Source organism: Homo sapiens, chromosome 10, assembly GCF_000001405.40.
Source record: "Homo sapiens chromosome 10, GRCh38.p14 Primary Assembly".
NCBI lineage: Eukaryota > Metazoa > Chordata > Mammalia > Primates > Hominidae > Homo > Homo sapiens.
The window spans coordinates 132,732,618-132,752,441 of NC_000010.11; the positions used below are offsets into that span (position 1 = coordinate 132,732,618).

Sequence of the window (19,824 nt, forward strand, 5' to 3'; positions counted from 1 at the left end):
ATGGCCGCAGGGATTTCCTGAGGGCTGGGGGCCGTGAGGAGTCACAGGACCCTGGAACCGACCACGGGGAGGACCCTGAGGCCCAGGGCAGGGGCGGTATCCCCAGGGTCACCTGCGGCCCCTCAGTGCTGCGTGGCACCTCCACGTGGCCATGTCGCTTCCTGTGGGCCGCAGACACGTGCAGGCTCTCCGGAGGGTCACGGCCTGTCTTCTGTTTGCTCATCTGTTGACGTGGAATGTGCGTGCCAGGTGGATCCCTCCCGCGCAGAGTCTCCTGTCTCCGTGTGGGGAGATTCCTGCGGCAGTGGCTCAGAGGACCACAGGCTGGGTGGCTTACACAGCAGAAGTTTATTCTCTCACAGTCCTGGAACCTGGACATCCAAAATCAAGGTGTCCTAGCGCCACGCTGCTCCTGGAGGCTCCAGGGGGGACCCCTCCTTGCCTCACCCAGCCACAGGTGGCCCAGATGGCCCTGGCTCATGGCCGCATCACCTCCGTCTGCGCCTCCATCCTCATGTGGCCTTTTCTTGCAAGGACATGAGTCCATGGACTTAGGGCCCACCCCACCCAGGATGTCTCATCCCGAGATCTTAACTAGTTACACCTGCAAGGCCCCATTTCCAAACAAGGCCCCAATTCTGAGGCTCTGGGTGAACATGAATCTGGGGGCACACCGTACAGCCCAGGACAGCAGGCAGCGCCGGAGTGACTGTCTCCTGCCACGTGGTCCACTGAACACTAGCACAGAAAACGTTTCTTTGAAAGCCCTACCTAAAAATAAATCTCACTGAAAAATGACCAGATTTATTTGTTGGTGGTGATTAATTTCAGCTGCATTAATTAAGGTGCCAATTAGGTAGATTATTGAATTTTAAAATACCATCCAAGCCCCTCTTATGGAAAATCAAAATCTGCTAGTTGGCATGGCATGGTTTTTAAAAAAGGTTTCTGACTGTAAAACATTTCGTAGAAATTTTGTGGAAACCAAAGAAAATTCTGCACGATTTTCTTTTGAGGCTGACTTGGACCAAGGAATTGAGGGCAGGTGTTTGGGGACCCCTCATACCGGCACCAGATCAGGCTGTGCTGAACGCTGATGCCGGCCTCCCTCTGCGTGTGAACGGGGTGATATTGGCCTCCCTCCGTGTGTGAACAAGCTGATGCCGGCCTCTGCACCTGAACAGGCTGATTTCAGCCTCTGCGCGTGAACAAGCTTGATCTCCACTTGGCCCTGTGGCACGTCCCTGTTGCAGTTTCCTTCCACATGAAGCTTTTTGATGAAGAACTGACAGGAGTGCCTGGGAGCTCCTTAGCACACACATCCTGGGCTCTCCCGGACCTGCGAGTCTCCTGGGAGCTCCTCAGCACACAGATCCTGTGAGTCAGGCCCAGGGCCCAGGCAGCGTCTCCTCACGTCTGCCTGGCACCAGGCTCAGTGCAGCTGGTGAACCGGGGCTGCGCAGGTACCTCTGGTCGGGATTCAGGCTCGGTCCACGCCACCCGCAGTGCCATGCCCGTGCAGCCTCCAGGGATGCATCGCTGCAGGCGCACCTGAGATGCCAGCTATGCTCTCGTGTGACGCAGAAGCATCACCTCTGGGCTGGACTGTCATGGCAGGACCACACCCGGCAGTGGCCACCGTCACTGCCCACTGATCTCGGTGCTCCCTGAGGCTGTGCGCTTCTCCTTCCTCAGATGAAAAGTGGACGAGGAATCCCTGTGGTCCAGGGCCTCATTTTCCTCGTACAGCTTTCATTTTTCGCACTGTGGTCCAGCCTCCAGTGTCTTTGCAGCTGGGAAGTATCAGGAGGAATTGGAGCGTGCAGCAGCTCAGCATGGCCTGGGCAGAGTGCGGATTCGCAGCGTTTCCAGCTGCTCAGCTGAGCAGGTTCTTTTTCACACAGGCCTGTGGATGGCTGAGGTTCTGGGTGGGTGAGTGTCCCACTGTTGGCTGCCTTGTGGGCAGCCCCATTGGTCCAGCAAGTGTGTCCTGTGCGTTTGCTATGTGGGCCCAGCACCAGGATGAGGGTACCGCCTGCCCTCAAGACCATGGCCTTGGGCACCAGGAGTGCCCGGGGCAGTGGGTTTGCCTGGCGGCTGCCTCCCCCACCTCTCTTCAGTTCTCCCCCTGCCTGGGAGTGATTTCCCACCGAAGTGTCTGTGCACATCTCTCTGCCTTCCTAGAAGCATCTGCATTTTAAAGGAGAGGGAGTGTCGGAGTCAAAGGCCGGCAGGAGTGTCTTGCAGGGTCCTCGGATGGAGCTAGCTTCGGGGCTGAATGGAGTGGGTTCAGTCCTTGAGATGGGCTCTGCCCTTCCTCTTGGCAGAGCAGCTGTGTGGTGAGCCCCTCAGAGAAGGCCACACAGAGGCGGGCAGGGCCTCCCAGAGGGCTTAGAAGTGTTGTCTGCTCCCCAGCCGTGTGGAGCAGGTGCATCTCGAGCACCTGTCCTTCCTTCCCCTGAGCCTTTCTGTCAAACAGCAGCATGGGTTAGAGTGAGACCCTGTGGGCTCCATGCAGGCTAGTCCTCCCCACCCTCTGCAACCCCCCGTGTGGAGATACCACATTCAGAGGCCACGTTGGTACCTGCAGTCTGGCTCCTTGGGAGCCGGAAAAGGCCACACCCAGCCTCCACCCTGGGTTTGTGGGGAGATCTGTGCCCTCCTCTGGGGTGGTTTTCAGATTGCCCAGGATCAGAGTAAGCATACGCGGTTCTGAAGGTTTGTGGACAGTGACACAGTCGTGCATAGCCAGAGCGCATCAGGAAGCCGTGTTTATCACAGTGCAGAGCGTCTTGCCTGATGGAGTGTTCTGGGAATGCTGGAGGCTGGGGGCAGGCGGTGCCCGGTGGCACGGGCGCCCTGGGGCGGTGTTGGTACGAAGGGACACGTGAGTGTAATGGTCTTTCAGAAACCACGGCTGGCCTGGCTTTGGTTTCACTGCTGAGCTCCCACCCACAGCAGCCCATCCTTGCCCCCTCGGTCCTGGGCTGGTGGGGTCATCCTCTTGCTCTCACTGCCGACCGCGTTCCTCTGCCTGCTCACAGCGCCTCCTTGGTGCCCTCAGTGGCAGGCTTGCTGGAAAGACTCATCAGAGGTTAATTAAATCCATCTCCACAGCAATGGGAGGCCGGGCAGAGCCGGGCTGGCAGCAGCAGATTAAATACAGGGTTGTTTGCCCTGCCGAGAGTTCAGGGGCAGGGTGTCTGGGAGGACGACCAGCTTGGTGGCCCTGGAGGCTCTCAGACCCCGAGGTGGAGACCTGCTTGTGATTTTTGGTGGCAGGAGGGTTGTAGGGATTGGATCCGGGAGTCCTGCCCTGCCCCACACCAGTCTGTGAAAGAGGCTCTGTGTGCAAAGCGAAGAGACTGTCCCCCAGGAATGCGCAGCCTCCTGTGTTTCAGATGCAGATTAATGCAGACTTGCTCACAGAGCAGAACTGAAAAGATACTGGAGTCAGATCTGGCACCACGGAAGCTGTAATTACAACCCACCACATGAAACACGCCAGTCGTGTGCCATCTGAGAGGGCCGTGCGTCCTCACACGAGTCAGTGATGCAGCCTGCGGCTCCAGCTGCTGCTGGGATGTTCAGAGGGTGTGTTTCCTGCCTCGCGCGGTGGCAACTGGCAGCTGGGGCGCTCAGCTGGCCGTGGTGACAAAGAGTGACAGCAGTGCCAGGCGCACCCGTCTCCACGCGGCCCGACCGCACACCACACCTGCCGTCCATCACGTCTGACAGTGACGGTGATGGATGCGTCTTTGGAGGCTGGTGGCCATTTTTAACAACCAGTTACCAATCACTGACAGGTACATGCTCAGGTGCCAGCTGGGCCTGCAGGGGAATGGCCGTTGGGGGCGTTGACATCCAGAAGGAGCCGTCCTCGGAGAGGGGCTGACGTCGCAAGGAGACACCCCGAGAGCCGGGCTTCCCAAAACACGGCTCTCAATGGGCACCAGGGAGGATACCACCACTGCCCGCGAGGCAGGATCCCAGCACCTGCCTCAAAGGCTGTGTCTGCCGTTCAGTGGAGACCATGGCCGGCAAGAGCAGCCAAGGCCAGGCTGCCCAGCAGCATAAGCCCAGGCCCAGACCTCAGACATTCCTGGCGCCCAGGCGTCCTTCCTTCTAGTGTGCACTGCGTCCTGGGAGGAGGAGCAGCTGTCAGCCAGTAGGTAACATCGCACCTGGTCATGGCCCCCCACAGCCCCACAGACTCCTGAGACCCGCTGGCTGCTCCGGCCCCAGCCAGGCTCCAGGTGAAGTTGTGACCTCATCTGGTTACCGGCTGCCTTGTTGAGCCCCTCTGCCCCCTGATCCCTCAGCCGTGGGCACAGTGGGCGCCGTGAGGCTGTGGGCAGGAGAGGCCAGGTCCCTGTGTCCACTGGCAGCTCCCATCAGGCGTGACAGACAGGGATGACTGTGCAGCTGTCGCTAGCCCTGTGTATGGGCAGGCCTGAGCTCCTAAAAACTGAGAGCATGGCGGCTGACTCCTCAGTCTGACGATGTTCCTGCATCGGCTGCAGTCGGCGCAGCCCTCCAAAGCCCTGCACCATTCAGGATTTGGCCCATCCCACAGCCATGAGCGGACTCGATGTGGCAACATGGGCACAGTGTGTGTCCAGAGGGCAGGTGGCAGGGACGGTCCCTTCTAACTCCCACAGACCCCAGAAAGCCTGGCTCAGAGTGACACTCCTGTAGAGCCTCAGCACCGTCTCCAGAGCAGCATGGATGGAAAGATGCACACAGCCCCATCCTCCTGCTGCCGTGGGTTAATGTTAGCGCAGCCCCGTCCTCTGCTGCCGTGGGTTAATGTTAGCGCAGCCCTGTCCTCCTACTGCCGTGGACTAATGTTAGTCATCGTCAAGTTCTCATCTTACCTGGGGACCCAGTGTGTAGACAGACCTTGTGCAGACCCAGTGGGGCACTGCCCTCGCCACGTGCCCAGCGTGCTCTGGATGGTGAGGCAGGCCAGTGGCAGCCTCTCTGCCCTCCCTGCCAGCTCCTCAGCCACAGGGACGCCCTTCCCTGAGGGTGGAGGTCAGGGCGGTGAGGGCCTGCAGAGGGCACGTGAGCTAAGCCGTGCTGCTCGGTTCACTCACTTGTTATTCTAGAGTCTTGGTGTAAAATAGCAATGGCAACAACAGAAGCACTGATTTAAATCATTAAATTTATTTTTTAATTTTTCTGTTTAGAAAGAGATTTTATTTGGTCTGTTTCTATATAGGGCCTATGACATCAACTGAAAATAAAATAAAATGTTATACTTAATTATAGTGATGACATTAGGCTTCGTATTTAGGGGATTTTTTCTAGGAAGTTCACTTTGCAAATATTACCCAATATTTTCAACTGGTATATTGATGCCAAGAATCTTCTCATTTTATAGAAAAAGAAGACAAAAAACAAAAGACGCTTGGCATTTTCTCTGGTCTATGCTGGGACTCTGTTCGAGGAACTGTTTTTTGGACTCACTCCTAAATGATTCATAATCCGTAGTGTGTTCACTAATCTTTAATGCACTTTTCTATATTTTTTATGAGCTCATACTTTATTTAAAAATTCCTCTGACTGCCCTTGGTTTAAAAGAAACCCATGGGAAAGGTAGGGCACAGAGCAGGTCTCTCGTGCCAAGGCAGGGGGTTGCTGGAGACCCCGGACACTGTGTAGCCTCATTCGTCCTCCTCCTTCACACATCGCACCCGGCTCCCTTACTAGCAATCAGTGGCTCTGACAAGCATACAGGGGACCCTGGGACGAGGGCTGAGCTCTGTGTCCTGCGTCCCCCTCCCTTTGCCACATCCCCCTCCCCACGTCCAGCCGTGCCAGTGGAAGGCTGGGGATGTCCGGGAGGAGCCACCCAGAGGCACAGCAGGTGCTTCTGCCGCCGGGCAGGGCCAGTCCTGTGGAGCCACCCCTGGGCCCAGCAGAGGGTGCCCGGCATGGTGCTAGACACAGCCTGAGAAAGAGACCCGCCGCCTTCTTCCCAGAAAGTCTGTTGAGCTCTAGCTGGCGTGAGAGCAAGTGGGCGCCACTCCCATTCCATGCGCGCTGTGTCCGAGCCTGCCAGGCTGCTGGAGTCCGGGAGCAACCTTGGGAGAGGACATGAAAGAGTCTTTATAGCATGTTGTTGTTCTGGGTGGCCGTTGACAATGAACACAGAGAGGAGGGAGGCCACTCGGATGCTGACGCCAACATCTCCCCATGACAGTGCCTTTCACTGGCTGCATTTCTGCACCCCATAAGCTTGGGATGCAGGGCCTTGTGCCTGGCCCTGGGGCTCGCGGTGAGGTCTGTGCTCCAGGGCCTCACGGTGGGCACTTTTGTCAAGTGATAGGGTCCCCCTTCGGGTCTAGGGTTCACCAGGAAGACCGTTGAGAAGATGGAGCTAACCAGAAGGGCTTTCTCTTGGGAAGTCAAAGTAAGGGAGGCCGGCGAAGTGTCTGAGGGCCCGCCCCGCAGCCCTCCCAGCAAACCCTGCCCCACAGCCCTCCCAGCAAGCCAGGCTCTCAGCTCCTCAGATTCCATCTGGGATGGTCATTCTCTGTGTTCGGTGCCCACTCTGGTCCTAAAAAGCTAGGAAATTGGCACCATGGCACACTTTACAGAACGCCGTTCCTGGCTTCACTGGGGGCTGAGCATGGGCACGTGCCCCCGAGGAAGGGTCCTTGGTGCCTGCCACCCTGGCCTCCCGGCCTCACCACACATTTCCCACGCCAAGTCTGGCCGGGGTCCCTCTGCCAAGCTCAGGCCCAGCCCCTGGAGAAGCCTGTGTGAGGCCCGTGGTGGGGGCGTGCCGACAGAAGGCAGCGGGAAGGTGGTTTACTCATCCTTACCCTGCACCTGCTACACCCCCAGCCTGTCGAGCCTGGAGGGCACAGCTGTTGCCCTGTGGGCCTGTGTGCTAATAGGTCCTAGTAGCCACCAGCATACTTGGGGGTGGTGGCTATAGTGCCAGCCCCCTGATCTCAGCCACTCCCAGAGGGGGACGCAGCGCTCTCTGGCCTTTGCTGCCCTCCTTGCCCTGGGAGCCGGGTGAGTCGCACTCTCGCTTCCAAGAAGCTGCACACGTGTGTGCCATAGGAAAGGAGTCTGGAGCCTCCGGGAGTTAATTTGAGATGACGTGTGCTGTTTCCATCAAAGATCGTCAGGCTTGGGTGTAGTGCTTGTGAGGCCCTCGCCATGCCCCCTGCCAGGACCCAGGGGCCTCAGCAGAGGCGTCTTCTAGGGTCTGAGGACCTTGTCTCCACCCTGTGTGTCCGTTGGCCCGTGTATGTTTGATGAGCACTGACGTTCGGGGGTGCCGCCTGTGTCCACCCCAACGGGATGCCAGAGGACTCCAGAGGTGAGGCTTCCTTGGCACTTTCCGTGGCCTCCCCAGGACGAAGCAGGTTTTAAAGACAGGACTTGCACGTTGGGGCCGCCTGTGAAGCGATTGGCTGGTTGTCCTCCTTTCCCACTCCACGGCAATGTCTAAGATCTGCACCAGCGTCCATAATGTGAGTTACCAAGGAATGGCTAACCCCACGGGACCAGTAATGCTTCTCCAGGTGGATATCCAGAGGACTGGGGCGTTTGTCAGAACTTAGCGTTTGAATTATCTCTGCCTGTTTGCAGTGACCTAATAGTAAACCTGGAACTTTGCGTGCTGGTTTGTCAGTAGGCTCCATAGTTTTCTGAACTGTAACGGAATTACCCCCTCGATTCTGAGCAGTGGTCCGGACCCTCAGGCACGTTCAGGGCAGGAGCGGTGGGAGCCTCTTAGTGAATTCTCCTTTCACAGCGAAAGCATTACGTTGGTGTAGTGGCGCGGCATCCGGGAGCACAGATTTATATTCACGTTCACCATGACTAGAAGAATTATTTGTAGCATAGAAAATGTTTATCCCCTGGAGTCAGTTCTGTTTTCTAGAGTCATTCAAAAACTGAAGCCGTAATGATTTCCTATTAACTCGTTTTAAGGAAAACCCATGTAAAGTACTCGGGCCTTTTGTTGTGAACCATATTTTAGAAATCCTTTTCTACTTCCTCCTTTCATCCCTGCTGCTAGAGAGTGGCTACGTGGAACTTCTGTGTATAACCCTTCTTTATTTCTAGACATGTTTCTGGTTAAAATTTAACCAAAAACTACAGGATAATAAAGAAGGATGGGACTTGGCAAGTTTCTTCCTGCCGTGCCTTTGGTCAGTTTTCCCAGTGAGAGCCACTCGCAGGGTCCACATCGTTCACCCCCAGCATTCACCACCCAAGGGTCAGGCTTCTCTGACGTCACAGTGATTTCCTGGAGGAGGAGGAGAGAAACCCTAAGAGTTCACCTACAAAGAAAGGGGAAGGCCAGGGACAGTGCCTCACACCTGCCTTCCCAGCACTGTGGGAGGCTGAGGCAGGAGGATCATTGAGCCCAGGAATTCAAGACCAGCCTGGGCAACATAGGGAGTCCCCGTCTCTACAGAAAATAAGAAAGTAAAATTAGCCAGGCATTGTGGGGCACGCCTGTAGTCCCAGATACTCAGGAGGCTGAGGCGGGAGGATTGCTTGAGCCCGGAGGTCGAGGCTGCAGTGAGCCAGCCATGATCACATCACTGCACTCCATCCTGGCCAACAGAGGAGGACCCTGTCTCAAAAACCTAAAAATAGAGATAAATAAAAAAAGGGACACCGCCTGTCTTGGGTTGACAGCATGAGATGGGCTGGCCAGATCTCCGCAGCCTAACAGTGGGCAGCTCCGTGTCTGTGGGTCACAAGTGGTTGGTCTCAGTCTGGTTCCTGCTGGACAAACACTGCAGGTTCACACCACGGGAACTTCTCGGCATCTGTGCCAGGAAAGTTAGAGCTTCCTCATCCTTGGAACCCCAGCCTGCATTGCACCCAGAAGAGGATACCCCCGAATGAAGCTGGAGGCTGCTGTCCACTCCACAGAACCCTGGCCCTCGTCACACCCAGAAGAGGATGCCCCAGAATGAAGGTGGAGGCTGCTGTCCACTCTGCAGAACCCCGGCCCTCGTCACACCCAGAACAGGATACCCCGGAATGAAGGTGGACGTTGGTATCCGCGTCCGCTTGCTTTTCTCAATAGCCAATGTAAACTGAGGTGGACGTCAGTATCTGTGTCCGCTTGCTTTACTCAATAGCCGACGTAAACTGAGGTGGACGTCAGTGTCCGCGTCCGCTTGCTTTACTCAATAGCCGACGTAAACTGAGGTGGACGTTGGCGTCCGCGTCTGCTTGCTTTACTCCATAGCTGATATAAACTGCAGCTGGCTGCAGCACCCACGAATGGCTTCTTTCCGAGATGTGGCCGTCCTCTGCAGAAAGGATGCATACTTACAGAGAAGGCGCTCACTCCTGAGGGAGAGCAAAGGCCAGGTCAGAGCTGTGTGGGACAGGAGGTGTCCTCACGAGTCTCCTGGAGAGGAGCCTGCTCCCAGAGGCCAATCAGCACCGGGTCCTACAGCCCTGAGGGGCGGTTGCTCTGTGAACTTACTACCAGATAGAGCTCATGCGCCATGAGCCACGCTGCATCAGATAGGGCCGAGGAGAGATGGCGAAGTGCTCCTCATAGGAGCCTGTTCTGTTCCTGATGGATGAATCCAGGTGAGTCCCGTGTGAACACAGAGCTCAGAGTCCCACCCCAAGAACACACTCTGTGTTCCCCTTGATGCAGCCCCGACCTGGGCCAGCACGCGCAGCCCCGCCCTGCAGGAGGAAGCCTTCGCACAGTGGCACCAGCTCTCAGAGGCGACACCACGCCTTGTCCTGAGCAGAGAGGGGCGCTCCCAGCTTTGTCCTGAGCAGAGAGGGTGCCCACCGCCTGTGGAAGTCAGCCCCAGGTCTGAGCGAGAGGGCCACCCCCAGCTTCACTCGCTGGCCGTTGGTCTCAGGTCCTGCCTGCCATCCCCAGGTGGAAGGCGGTTGTATCTAGTCCGGCGCCCAGTCAGGCTGTGTCCAGCCAGAGCTTCCCCTGCGGGGTTTTGCTGTTTTAGTCATTGCTGTTCTTCAGGGAAGTCTTGGAGACGGGCACAGCTTTCCATAAATTACAGCCCCGTGAAACAAAAAGTGCCTCCCGATGAGTTCGGACCGTGAGGGACACCCAGCTCCGATGCTTCCTTCCCGGGGTCTGGAATCCCTGGTGAACCGGGGCCCTTGGTAGTCAAGAAACCTGTCATTGAAATTCATGATGCCGGTTTGGTTCTCTTTGCCGAGATTTATCATTGACAGGCATCCTGCGTCCTTTGGCCCTTTATTTAACCGCTGAAGGCATTGTTTTTAAGACCATTTCTTTTAGAAGAGTTTCTTTTCAGATGTTCCTACGAACATCTGTTTGTGGCTGAAATTCGACCCAGCCGGCCTGCGCCTGCCCCGCGCCCCCTTTGTCCCCGGCCATTGTTTCTGATTTCATGCTATCAGAGGTCTGCGTGTTTTTCTGCATGAAGTTGTCAGCAGGATAAAAGCTCAGGAGCAGGGTCACGTTGAGAGGGGAGGGCATGAAAAATTGGTAAAATGTGTCTTCAAGGCCACCCACCAGTGCTGCACTCAGCCCCAGCAGGGACTGGGCCCGGGAGTGAGGGCAGCCCACCCACCAGCGCTGCACTCAGCCCCAGCAGGGACCGGGCCCGGGAGTGAGGGCAGCCCACCCACCAGCGCTGCACTCAGCCCCAGCAGGGACCGGGCCCGGGAGTGAGGGCAGCCCACCCACCAGCGCTGCACTCAGCCCCAGCAGGGACCGGGCCCGGGAGTGAGGGCGAGCCCACCCACCAGCGCTGCACTCAGCCCCAGCAGGGACCAGGCCCGGGAGTGAGGGCGAGCCCACCCACCAGCGCTGCACTCAGCCCCAGCAGGGACCAGGCCTGGGAGTGAGGGCGAGCCCCTTGCGCGAACCCTGGAGGGCCGGACCCTAACCCTGGGGCTGTGGGCTCTGCCCCTCCCTCCATTCATTCATTTGTCCCGTGAGTATCAATTGGATGTCTGCAAAGTGCCAGAGGCAGTTTGCTTCCGAATCAGCACTTTCTTCAAGACTGGACTCACTCCTCGTCACGTGTGGGGAGGAAACTTCTGAATCACTGAAGTCAGTGGCTGAGTTCACACCACCCCAGCCAGCCCACAGCGGTCACACCCTTGCTAAGCTTGCTGACGGGCAGCCTCACTGGAGCGCAGACGTTACCCTCCCAGGAAACCTGTGATGAGGACTGGGGTGCACACGTGTGCTGAGGACACCCTCCAAGGCCGGCCCCGGGGCTCAGACAGGCAGGCTGGGGCCACATCTGAGCCTCCTGGTTTTAGTGCATTCACTCTGGCGCAGACAGACCATGGCTGAGCGTGTGGTCCCGAATTCCATCCTTGGAACAGAGGAAGTTTTTGTTATGAGAAAGAACTCCAGCCACAGCGGATTTGCACCTGCAGGTCTGTGTCTTGCGACACTTAAGGGCCAGGCTGGACGGGCCCCCACAGAGGTGGAGGAGTGGCCGGCTCTGGCCAAGCTGCCAGACACCACCAGGGAAACAGGTGCACCCACAGAGCTTCTGTGCCTGCTGAGGGGCTGGGAGTCGTAGCCTCAAGGAGCAGGCTCATTTTGTTGCTTTCTGCTTTAAGGTGGTTTTTCTTCTGGTTGGATGAGAAAAGTTAGTTGAGCCCCCCACGGATTGACTCAGCAGCTGAGTATGTAGAAACTGGCCTGGTCCTGGGGCCAGCATGTGAGCCATCCCCCACCACCCACAGGCCTCCCAGGAGGCCCTGCTCCCGCAGCAGAGCGGCCGCTGTCACCGAGGCAATGGCCAGATCAGGAATTCCAGGACCCCCGGGAGGGTGGGACACTGCGGCTCCACCGGTCCCTGTGTCTATGGAATCGGTGTCAGCGGACATCCCGTTCATGGTGGGATATGCCCGTAGGTGTCGGGCAGATGGGGGAGTTTCAATACCGGCTCCTTTAGGGGGTCTCAGTTTGGAGGAAAAAAGCCTTATTTCCTTGATGATGGTTTCATTCCTTAAGAACGCACTAGAATCTGCCCCTTAGTAGCTGCCTGTGGTGTTTCTAGATTCGGGGGCAACGTTGGCTTTGTGGTTCGTTTTTATTTTATTTAACTGTGAACGCCCTTTTACTCCCTGCATTGAGGTGAGACAGAGGACACGGCTCTCAAGGAGAGGAAGAAGTTGTTGGGATTCCCAGGCTTCATGAGGCCGGGCTGTCCCTGAGCCTGAGGCGACCTGCAGGGCTGACTGATTTCTATCCACTGAGGAAGGTTAGGATTCAACCTCAGCCTCACTTTGTGCAGCCGCCATGTTAGACATGCCGCCACAGACCACGGCACCGTTGTCCCTCCCGAAAGTGCTGTCCTGGGCCCGGCGGTGCAGCCCCTGGCAGCTTGCGAGGCCCGGGCTGCCCGCCTCTCCCGTGGCACAGGCTTGGGGACAGGGTGTGCCCGAGCCAGTGGCTGGCTCAGGAGGCCACAGAGGTGCATTTGCCTCTGCTCCAGGCGAGCTTGGGCGGTTCTGGGAGGGCCTGGGGACACAGGGTGACGTGGTGGGAGGGCGCTATGGCCTGTCAGCCTTTGATCTTGGGGCAGGTGGTTCTGCCTGCCTGCCACAGAGGACGGGGTCCTCCATCCCCTCGCGAGCTCCTGGAGGCCACGATGCTCCTGGGGACACCTCCCCTTTGGGAAGGTGAGGGCTGGGGCTGTCCCTGTTGCCAGGCTCTGGCCCTAGGAAGGAGGTTTGTGGCCCCAGTGACTAACGGATTCCCTTGTCTGCCTGGGAGTGTGTTGACCACCAGGGAGTAACCAGGGAACTGGACTCTCCGTGTGGCAGGAGGGGCATCTCCCAGCCTTCGAGCCTGATTGCTTTTCCAGTGCCTGAGCTGCACCCCTGGGATCCCAGCTTTCCCTTCCCGAGTCCGGGCAGCATCTGTGCTGGGCCCTGCTGGGACCTTCCTCCTCATGTGAGGCATGTCACGGCTGGCACTGGCCCCAGCCCGGGCCTCGGGTGTGGTGGGCCCACAGTGTGTCAGACCCTGGGTGTGGTGGGCCTCGGGCGTGGTGGCCTCGGGTGTGGTGGCCCTGGGCATGGTGGGCTTCAGGCATGGTGGCCTCGGGTGTGGTGGGCCCAGGCGTGGTGGGCTTCGGGCGTGGTGGGCCTCAGCTGTGGTGGCCTTGGGTATGGTGGGCCCGGGCATGGTGGGCTTCTGGCGTGGTGGCCTCGGGTGTGGTGGCCCTGGGTATGGTGGGCCTGGGCATGGTGGGCCCGGCCATGGTGGCCTCGGGTGTGGTGGGCCCGGGTGTGGTGGCCCCCGAGGAGGAGTGTGTCCTGGAGAACAGGCGGGTGCGTGAGAGCTCCCAGCTCAGCCACAAGAGCAACACATGCTGCCCACCCAGCCTCGCCTACCCTGCCTACCCTGAGACGCCTTGGCAGGACCTAGAAGCCAAGCCTGGGGTAGGGCCTCGGCGTTGCCTGCACGTGTGCCCAGATGGCTTCTTCGGAGCCCTGAGTGGGCCCCCGAGGCTGTGTGTCCACTTGGCCCAGGCAGGGCGCTCTGGACACCTGGTGATTCCAGGTAGAGAGTGGAGCCCAGGCGCCTGCTGGCTGTGCGTGCGGTGCCTGGAGGCTACAGCCAGCGAGGATTCATTTCAGAGAGTACAGAACAACTTTTTGTTTTTATAAACCAGCTCTTGAAGGTTGCATTTAAAAACTTGGGCTGACAGGGTCTGAGAGGATGTGTTTGCCTTTAGTAGAGTTTTGGATTTTGTGGCAGAGTGTCCGGGACAGTTGAGGGGGTGATGGGACAGATTCAGCTCCCAACGTGAGACCAACTGCACAGGTGCACATTGGGGCGACTCTGCCTGCCATGCAGCTCCGTGCACATCCGAATGACTGCGTTATTTCCTTGCACAGAAAACAGCCTTTCTCCTGGGCTGACACCTGTGCCCTGGGCCTGTGGACGCCCTGTCCAGGCAGCATGCCTCCTTGGTTATCCAAACAGTAAGAAGAAATGCAGGAACTTCGTGATCCACACGCGTGTGGATGACCCTGGCACACAGCGTTCCCGTTAAATTCTAAGTGTGGATAAGACGGCACACCGGACCACTCTTTCCAGAGCCTCTCCTTGCGGCTGCTAATAATGAAATACATCTTAGATGGCTTTTTAAACATAGCATTTAGGGTATTTGTTTCTCCTTTCAAAAGAGAAGAATCCCTTCCCAAAGTAGGCGAGCCGGAAAGGCCCAGCCTGGCCACTTTCCGCATGAGTGGCCACGACTTTGCTGGATTGAAAGGCAAAGGGAACAGGCCAGCTTTGGCCCCTTCAGCCTGGCCTGATCACTCCTTTACAGCCTGTGAATGAGGCAGCTCTGGGGAGGGGTTTGGGGTGGCCGGCCCCTTCCTGGGCTCTGGGGTCCATCAGATGTTTGTCCTTTGGGAGCCTGCCTGAAGTGCTGAGATAAAGCAGTTTTTAAACAGTTTCCCGCAGATGCCTTTTGGGAGACAGAGCCGTGAATTTCCTGAGCCGCGTCCTGGGATGGCTACAATGGCCGTCTGCCTGCCAAGCCTTCTCCCATTCAGGGAAAGCAGCTTAAGCCACTTAAGCCCATTAGCATCTGGATGGGGCCGGACCTCCTTGGGACACAGGGGTGGGCAGGGTGGCCCCGCTGTGTGGCTGTTTGGGTGCTTGTTCTAATCCTCACGCTGTTTGAAGGCTCCAGACTGATTTGTGACACATGAGTCCAAAAGCCACTTTGGGGGGCTTGACCCCATCAGCCGGTCTGTGCTCGGAATGTCAATGGCCTGCCCTGGAGTGTGCTTTGGGGATAGCGGGTGGCCGCCTCCTGGCCCAGGCTGAGACACTGCACACCAGCCACCAGGAGGTAGACGCTGCATCTTGGCAAGAGGCGGGTCGGGCTGCCGAAGGGCTCCAGAGTTCCTCTCAGTTCCTGCTGAGCGCATGCCCGGAACCTGCACAGGAAGGCCGGGCACCGGCCCAGGGGTGTCCTCCTGAGCCCTGTCTCCGAGCCCCGGCCAGCGCCCGGGGCACCGAGGTGCTCCTCAGCAGCACCAGCTCCCAAGGGCCCTTTCAGGGAGAAATTTTTAAAGCCAAAGTTACTTTTGGTGCAGTCATCATTTTATAAAACAAAAATCATATATTATTTTCTTAAAAAAACAGATTTATAGGCCAGGTGCAGCTGCTCACACATGTAATCCTAGCACTTTGGGAGGCTGAAATGGGACAATCGCTTGAGCCCAGAGGTTCACGGCCAACCTGGGCAACATCATGAGACCCTGTCTCTACAAAAATTTAGAAAATTAGCTGGGCATGGTGGTGCATTACCTACAGTCCCAGCTACTCGAGGGGCTGAGGTGGGAGAATCACTTGAGCCCAGGAGGTCAAGGTTAAAACGAGCCTTGATCACGCCACTGCGCTCTGGCCTGGATGACAGATCAAGACCCTATCTGCAAAAAAATTTTTTTTATTAAAAACAAGCTGGATTGAGGTATAATTTACACACAAGCTATAATCCAATTCTAGACTCTCTCTCCATATAATCCAGTTCTAGACTATCCCTCCAGCCCCCGCCCCAGTCAGTTCCCTCCCGGCCCCCGCAGTCTCCTTGCTGCCTCTGTCTCTCCGACTTCGCCATGTCTGGGTATTTTGTGTAAATGGAATCTACAGTCTGTGGCCTTTTGTGTAAGGCAGCAGCTGTGCCCTCCTCCACCCACACCAGCGATGCAGAAACGCCGGTGCCTCTGCCCGCCATGAGCACGGGCCCTCGCTGTCCACACAGAGCTTTGATTTCTCTCAGATGTGGGTCTCACACTTCCCTTGTTCGGTGAGGTTCTAGGCATTCTTGTTTTCATGACTTCTGCCAAGCTCGGAGAGCTCAGTGCCCACAAGGCCCCTGTGTCGGGGCCAGGGGCTCCCCGTGGCCAGTCCACCCAGGTAGGGGTCTCCAGCTCTCTTACCTTTAGGGACTGACCCTCAGTGACCATTCCCTGCATTGTACTGAGGTTAAGACGAGAAGAATTTTCAAAACAGGCCTCAATGTAATCCTTCGCGGTGATCTGTGCCGGCTGTCCGCCAGCCAGGACCGTGCCTCCTGGAGCAGCTCAGCCATGCAGTGTGGGAGAGAGATCGGCACTCACTCAGCCTCCCTCTCCTCTGCTGCCCAGATGACTGCCCCTTCCCGTAGCTGGTCAGGCCAGTGAGCATCCACAGGCACCAGAGGCCGCAACCCTGACCCTGCAGCACTGCTGCCCCAGCCCCTCTCCTTGGTCCTCCTGGTCGGTGTGATCGCTGGGACCCTGGCGGGAGCCTGAGTTGTTCTTGGGTCCTGTCCACCTGCCTCTGGGCCCCTGCCCACCCCAGCCTGCGCCCCAGGGACTGGTTTGAGCCTGTTAACACCACAAAGCAGGCGTGTGACCTCAGCCATCCCTCCCACGTCAGCTTCACCCAGATGAGCCTGTTGAGACGGTTCCCGGTCAAGCCGCCTGCAGCCCTTGCCCGTTGTCACAGTCGAACAGCTCTCGAGGGAGTTCAGGGACGGGAGAGAGCGAGCGGGAGGAGGCCGGCCATGTGCCCCCGCAGGCACCCTCTTTGCTGTTCTCAGTGCTGCTGTGCCTTCCGAGCCTGCTGGTGTCGCACTGGCTTTTGCCCCAAAGCAGCTCTGTGGGCGGCAGCAGCTCCGGGGTGTCCTCACGGTTGCAGCCACGCTTTGTTGGGGAGCAGCCAGCCTCAGGCCCTTCGCACGTGTGAGGGTCGGCTGTTGCGGGAGTGGCCCCTGACCCCAGGTGCGGAAATCTGGGTGTGACACCAGCTGCTGTCTGGAACCAGCCATCCTATCCCACTGACTCGGGGTGTCGGGTGACGCTGCCATGGGCAGGTGGGCCCCCCTGGGACTTATCTCCGTTGCTGTCTTTCTGCAGACGCTCTGCACAAAAGCCACCATGCAGACGGTCCGGGCCGCCGACACCAATGAAGTGGTGAAGCTCATATTTCGTGAGTCGGACAACGACCGGAAGGTGAGCGGGGCCTGTGACTGGGCAGGTGACGCACGGGGCCTGCGCAGGACTCTGCAGCTTCCTTCAGAGCCGCCCTGCCTGCCCGGTTCGGTGGGGGCTAGGGGACACGCACAAGGCTGGGGGAGCTCAGGTGCTCATGGGCCACTCTGACTTCACAGGTTATGCTCCAGTTAGAAAAGAAACTCTTCGACTACTTCAACCAGGAGGTTTTCCGAGACAACAACGGCACCGCGGTGAGTTTGTGGTCCAATGTGGCAGCTCCCCCGTCCTGGGACATCCACGCCCCCAGGCCTTCCCATTACCTCTGCTTACCTGGGACCACCCTGCCTTGTCCCTGCCACCTCCAGGACTCAGTTCTGAGCCAGTGCAAGTCAGACTGCTGGGGACACATATTGGGTGCGTCCGGCACCCCGGGCCAGGTTGGGTGGAGGCTCCGTATCACTGTCCTGTCCACGGGCAGCATGACACTCGACCCATCAGCTTCAGAGATCCCCCCGTGTGCGAGGGGAGACGCTGGTGCTGTGGGGTGGGGAGGAAAGCCCCTTGTCTCAGAGTGAACCGGCCGGGCCTCGGGCCTCACTCTGAAGTGGGAGACTGAAGGGAGCAGGTTCCTCACACTCCTGTCGCTAGACTTGCTGTGTGTGGGTCTGTGTGTGAGCACGTGTGTGTGCTCTAGTGCATGCGTGTGCACATGTGCACGTGAGTGCGTATCTGCCTCTGTGGGGTGGGTGTGCCGCTGTATGTCCATGAGCACGTGTGTAAACAAGTGCGTGTCAATGGGAATGTGCGGCTCAGGTCGGTCCACGGAGAGGTGGCCCCTGCCAGTGAGAGACAGCCCCGGCTGCTGGACCTGCTGTTGGTTTTGAAATCGTGAGTCTTCCCTTCAAGGGATCAGTGTAGGCGAGCGCTGAGGGGCGGCCTACACACTCTCTTTACAATTTTTATTTTTTATTGTGGTCTACTTTTGTCCCATTTTTAATGTATTTACAAATGTTTATCAGCGCAAAGAACCAGGAATCACGCAGCAGCTGGCTGGGCCCCATATGCGGCCTCGGCCGATTTCTGTAAACACGCCCACTGTGGCGATTCCAAGCCACACGTGATGCCGTGTGCAACGAGCCAGCATCCAAGATCTGGAAACCTCGGCATCAGTTCCTAGGGCGCTCCCGAGCCAGCTATGGTTCCCTTGGCGCTGCGTCAGGGCAGGTGGCCCCTGTCCTCAGGAAGCTGTCTGGGGAGTGGCCGGGGGAGAGGTGAGGGAGCACAGGCGGGTAGACCCAGGACACTGCAGCCGCGTTCACATCCTAGCATCCTGGGCCAGCCAGGTGTCTGTGTGTCAGTTTCCCCTCGTGGGGTTTGGGGGCTTATGGGTGAGTGCATGCAAAGTGCTTAGGAAGAGCTGGGGTCTCTCAGTGCCAGACAGAGGGGCACGCCCAGCCCAGCGGACGCTGCCAGCCCCGAGTCCCAGGCCCAGAACCTCCACTCCAGGATGGCATTCGCTGCCTCCCCAACGGCCCCCAGACCCCACGCTCCTGTCTTCTTGGGAAGTCACTTCTGCCTCCTGCCCCTCATCAACCCAGAGCCCGAGGCTCCCGTGACGCCCACACCTCCGTGGTGCCTGGGCCTCCTGTGCCCGTCCCTGTCACCTGCTGCAGGAGCCCATGGTCCTTTCCCCCACTGGGGTCGGGTCAGGCCTTGGTGTCCTGTCCCCACATGGCCCCATCAGCCTGGGCAAGCCTAAGGTTTCCTCCGCTTCTCTCCATCCAGGCAGGCTGGGTTTCCTCCTGCGCCATGTGTGGGAGGCACCCTCCCCTCTCCTTCTCAAGCCTCCAGGGCCTGGTGGGGCCGCCTGTCTGTGGCTCCCGCTGCCCCTCTCTGGCTCTGCCTGCGGGACTCTGGGCTCCAGGATGCTTCCAGCTACAGGACACTCCCGGGTGGCGCATCCCGGCCTCGTCAGTGGGGAGCAGGGAGAGCCTGGGGAGCACAGATGTCTGGGTGGAGGCAGGTGCCCAGGAGGTGTCTTCGTGGAGGCAGGTGCCCAGGAGGTGTCTTCGTGGAGGCGAGTGCCCAGGAGGTGTCTGGGTGGAGGCAGGTGCCCAGGAGGTGTCTGGGTGCAGGCAGGTGCCCAGGAGGTGTCTTCGTGGAGGCGAGTGCCCAGGAGGTGTCTGGATGGAGGCAGGTGCCCAGGAGGTGTCTGGGTGGAGGCAGGTGCCCAGGAAGTGCCTTCGTGGAGGCGGGTGCCCAGGAGGTCTCTGGATGGAGGCGGGTGCCTAGGAGGTGTCTGGGTGGAGGCGGGTGCCCAGGAGGTGTCTGGGTAGAGGCGGGTGCCCAGGAGGCGTCTGCGTGAAAGGGGGTGCACAGGACGTGTCTGGGTAGAGGCGGGTGCCCAGGAGGCGTCTGGGTAGAGGCAGGTGCCCAGGAAGCGTCTGCGTGAAGGGGGGTGCCCAGGAGGCGTCTGGGTGGAGGCGGGTGCCCAGGAGGTGTCTGGGTGGAGGCGGGTGCCCAGGAGGCGTCTGGGTGGAGGCAGGTGCCCAGGAGGGAGACAGGGCTGCCGTCGTTTGGAGGAGGTGCTTTCAGGGTCCCTAGCAGAGCTGGCTCCTCAGTGCCAGGGGAGCAAAGTCTCCGGGGACCTTGCACAGGGCATGAAAAAGTGGAGGGTCCCTTGGAGGAGGATGCCAGGGAAGCCCAGGGAGATGGAATGTTTTGGAAGGAGCTAGGAGACAGGGAAGAGGGAGGCTCCCTCAGCCACAGGTAGGGTGGTGGCAGGGGACAGTTCCCAGCCGGGGCTGCGTGGAGTGGGGTGCGGCATGGAGGGGCGTGTGATGTGGA

General features: G+C 58.6%; 1 protein-coding gene across 8 annotated transcripts in view, besides 7 other annotated features; it reads left to right on the top strand.

Annotated features, from left to right (window-relative positions):
- INPP5A (inositol polyphosphate-5-phosphatase A) overlaps window positions 1–19,824 on the top strand; it is a 245,694-nt gene that overhangs the window by 194,831 nt on the left and 31,039 nt on the right. For all 8 annotated transcript variants that reach the window (XR_001747104.2, XR_945735.2, XR_007061963.1 and 5 more), the window contains 2 exons: window positions 16,900–16,995; window positions 17,154–17,228. Coding sequence is in view for 4 of the 8 variants with exons in the window: in NM_005539.5 (NP_005530.3) it covers window positions 16,900–16,995; window positions 17,154–17,228 (171 nt within the window). In the remaining 4 variants the exon portion in view is untranslated. The remainder of the gene's footprint in view (window positions 1–16,899; window positions 16,996–17,153; window positions 17,229–19,824) is intronic.
- Window positions 1,638–1,795: a silencer, noted in NCBI's record as "fragment chr10:134547759-134547916 (GRCh37/hg19 assembly coordinates)". NCBI's record gives its function as "represses an EF-1alpha promoter that drives an FKBP-Casp9 reporter gene in an ReSE screen in HepG2 liver carcinoma cells {active_cell/tissue: HepG2}" and the evidence as "EXISTENCE:reporter gene assay evidence [ECO:0000049][PMID:32094911]".
- Window positions 2,168–2,819: an enhancer, noted in NCBI's record as "H3K4me1 hESC enhancer chr10:134548289-134548940 (GRCh37/hg19 assembly coordinates)". NCBI's record gives its function as "activates a minimal SCP1, AML or CMV promoter by ChIP-STARR-seq in naive H9 embryonic stem cells {active_cell/tissue: H9 hESC(naive)}" and the evidence as "EXISTENCE:reporter gene assay evidence [ECO:0000049][PMID:30033119]".
- Window positions 10,950–11,485: an enhancer, noted in NCBI's record as "H3K27ac-H3K4me1 hESC enhancer chr10:134557071-134557606 (GRCh37/hg19 assembly coordinates)". NCBI's record gives its function as "activates a minimal SCP1, AML or CMV promoter by ChIP-STARR-seq in naive H9 embryonic stem cells {active_cell/tissue: H9 hESC(naive)}" and the evidence as "EXISTENCE:reporter gene assay evidence [ECO:0000049][PMID:30033119]".
- Window positions 11,996–12,177: a silencer, noted in NCBI's record as "fragment chr10:134558117-134558298 (GRCh37/hg19 assembly coordinates)". NCBI's record gives its function as "represses an EF-1alpha promoter that drives an FKBP-Casp9 reporter gene in an ReSE screen in K562 erythroleukemia cells {active_cell/tissue: K562}" and the evidence as "EXISTENCE:reporter gene assay evidence [ECO:0000049][PMID:32094911]".
- Window positions 13,094–13,629: an enhancer, noted in NCBI's record as "H3K27ac hESC enhancer chr10:134559215-134559750 (GRCh37/hg19 assembly coordinates)". NCBI's record gives its function as "activates a minimal SCP1, AML or CMV promoter by ChIP-STARR-seq in primed H9 embryonic stem cells {active_cell/tissue: H9 hESC(primed)}" and the evidence as "EXISTENCE:reporter gene assay evidence [ECO:0000049][PMID:30033119]".
- Window positions 15,893–16,601: an enhancer, noted in NCBI's record as "H3K27ac-H3K4me1 hESC enhancer chr10:134562014-134562722 (GRCh37/hg19 assembly coordinates)". NCBI's record gives its function as "activates a minimal SCP1, AML or CMV promoter by ChIP-STARR-seq in naive H9 embryonic stem cells {active_cell/tissue: H9 hESC(naive)}" and the evidence as "EXISTENCE:reporter gene assay evidence [ECO:0000049][PMID:30033119]".
- Window positions 16,602–17,308: an enhancer, noted in NCBI's record as "H3K27ac-H3K4me1 hESC enhancer chr10:134562723-134563429 (GRCh37/hg19 assembly coordinates)". NCBI's record gives its function as "activates a minimal SCP1, AML or CMV promoter by ChIP-STARR-seq in primed H9 embryonic stem cells {active_cell/tissue: H9 hESC(primed)}" and the evidence as "EXISTENCE:reporter gene assay evidence [ECO:0000049][PMID:30033119]".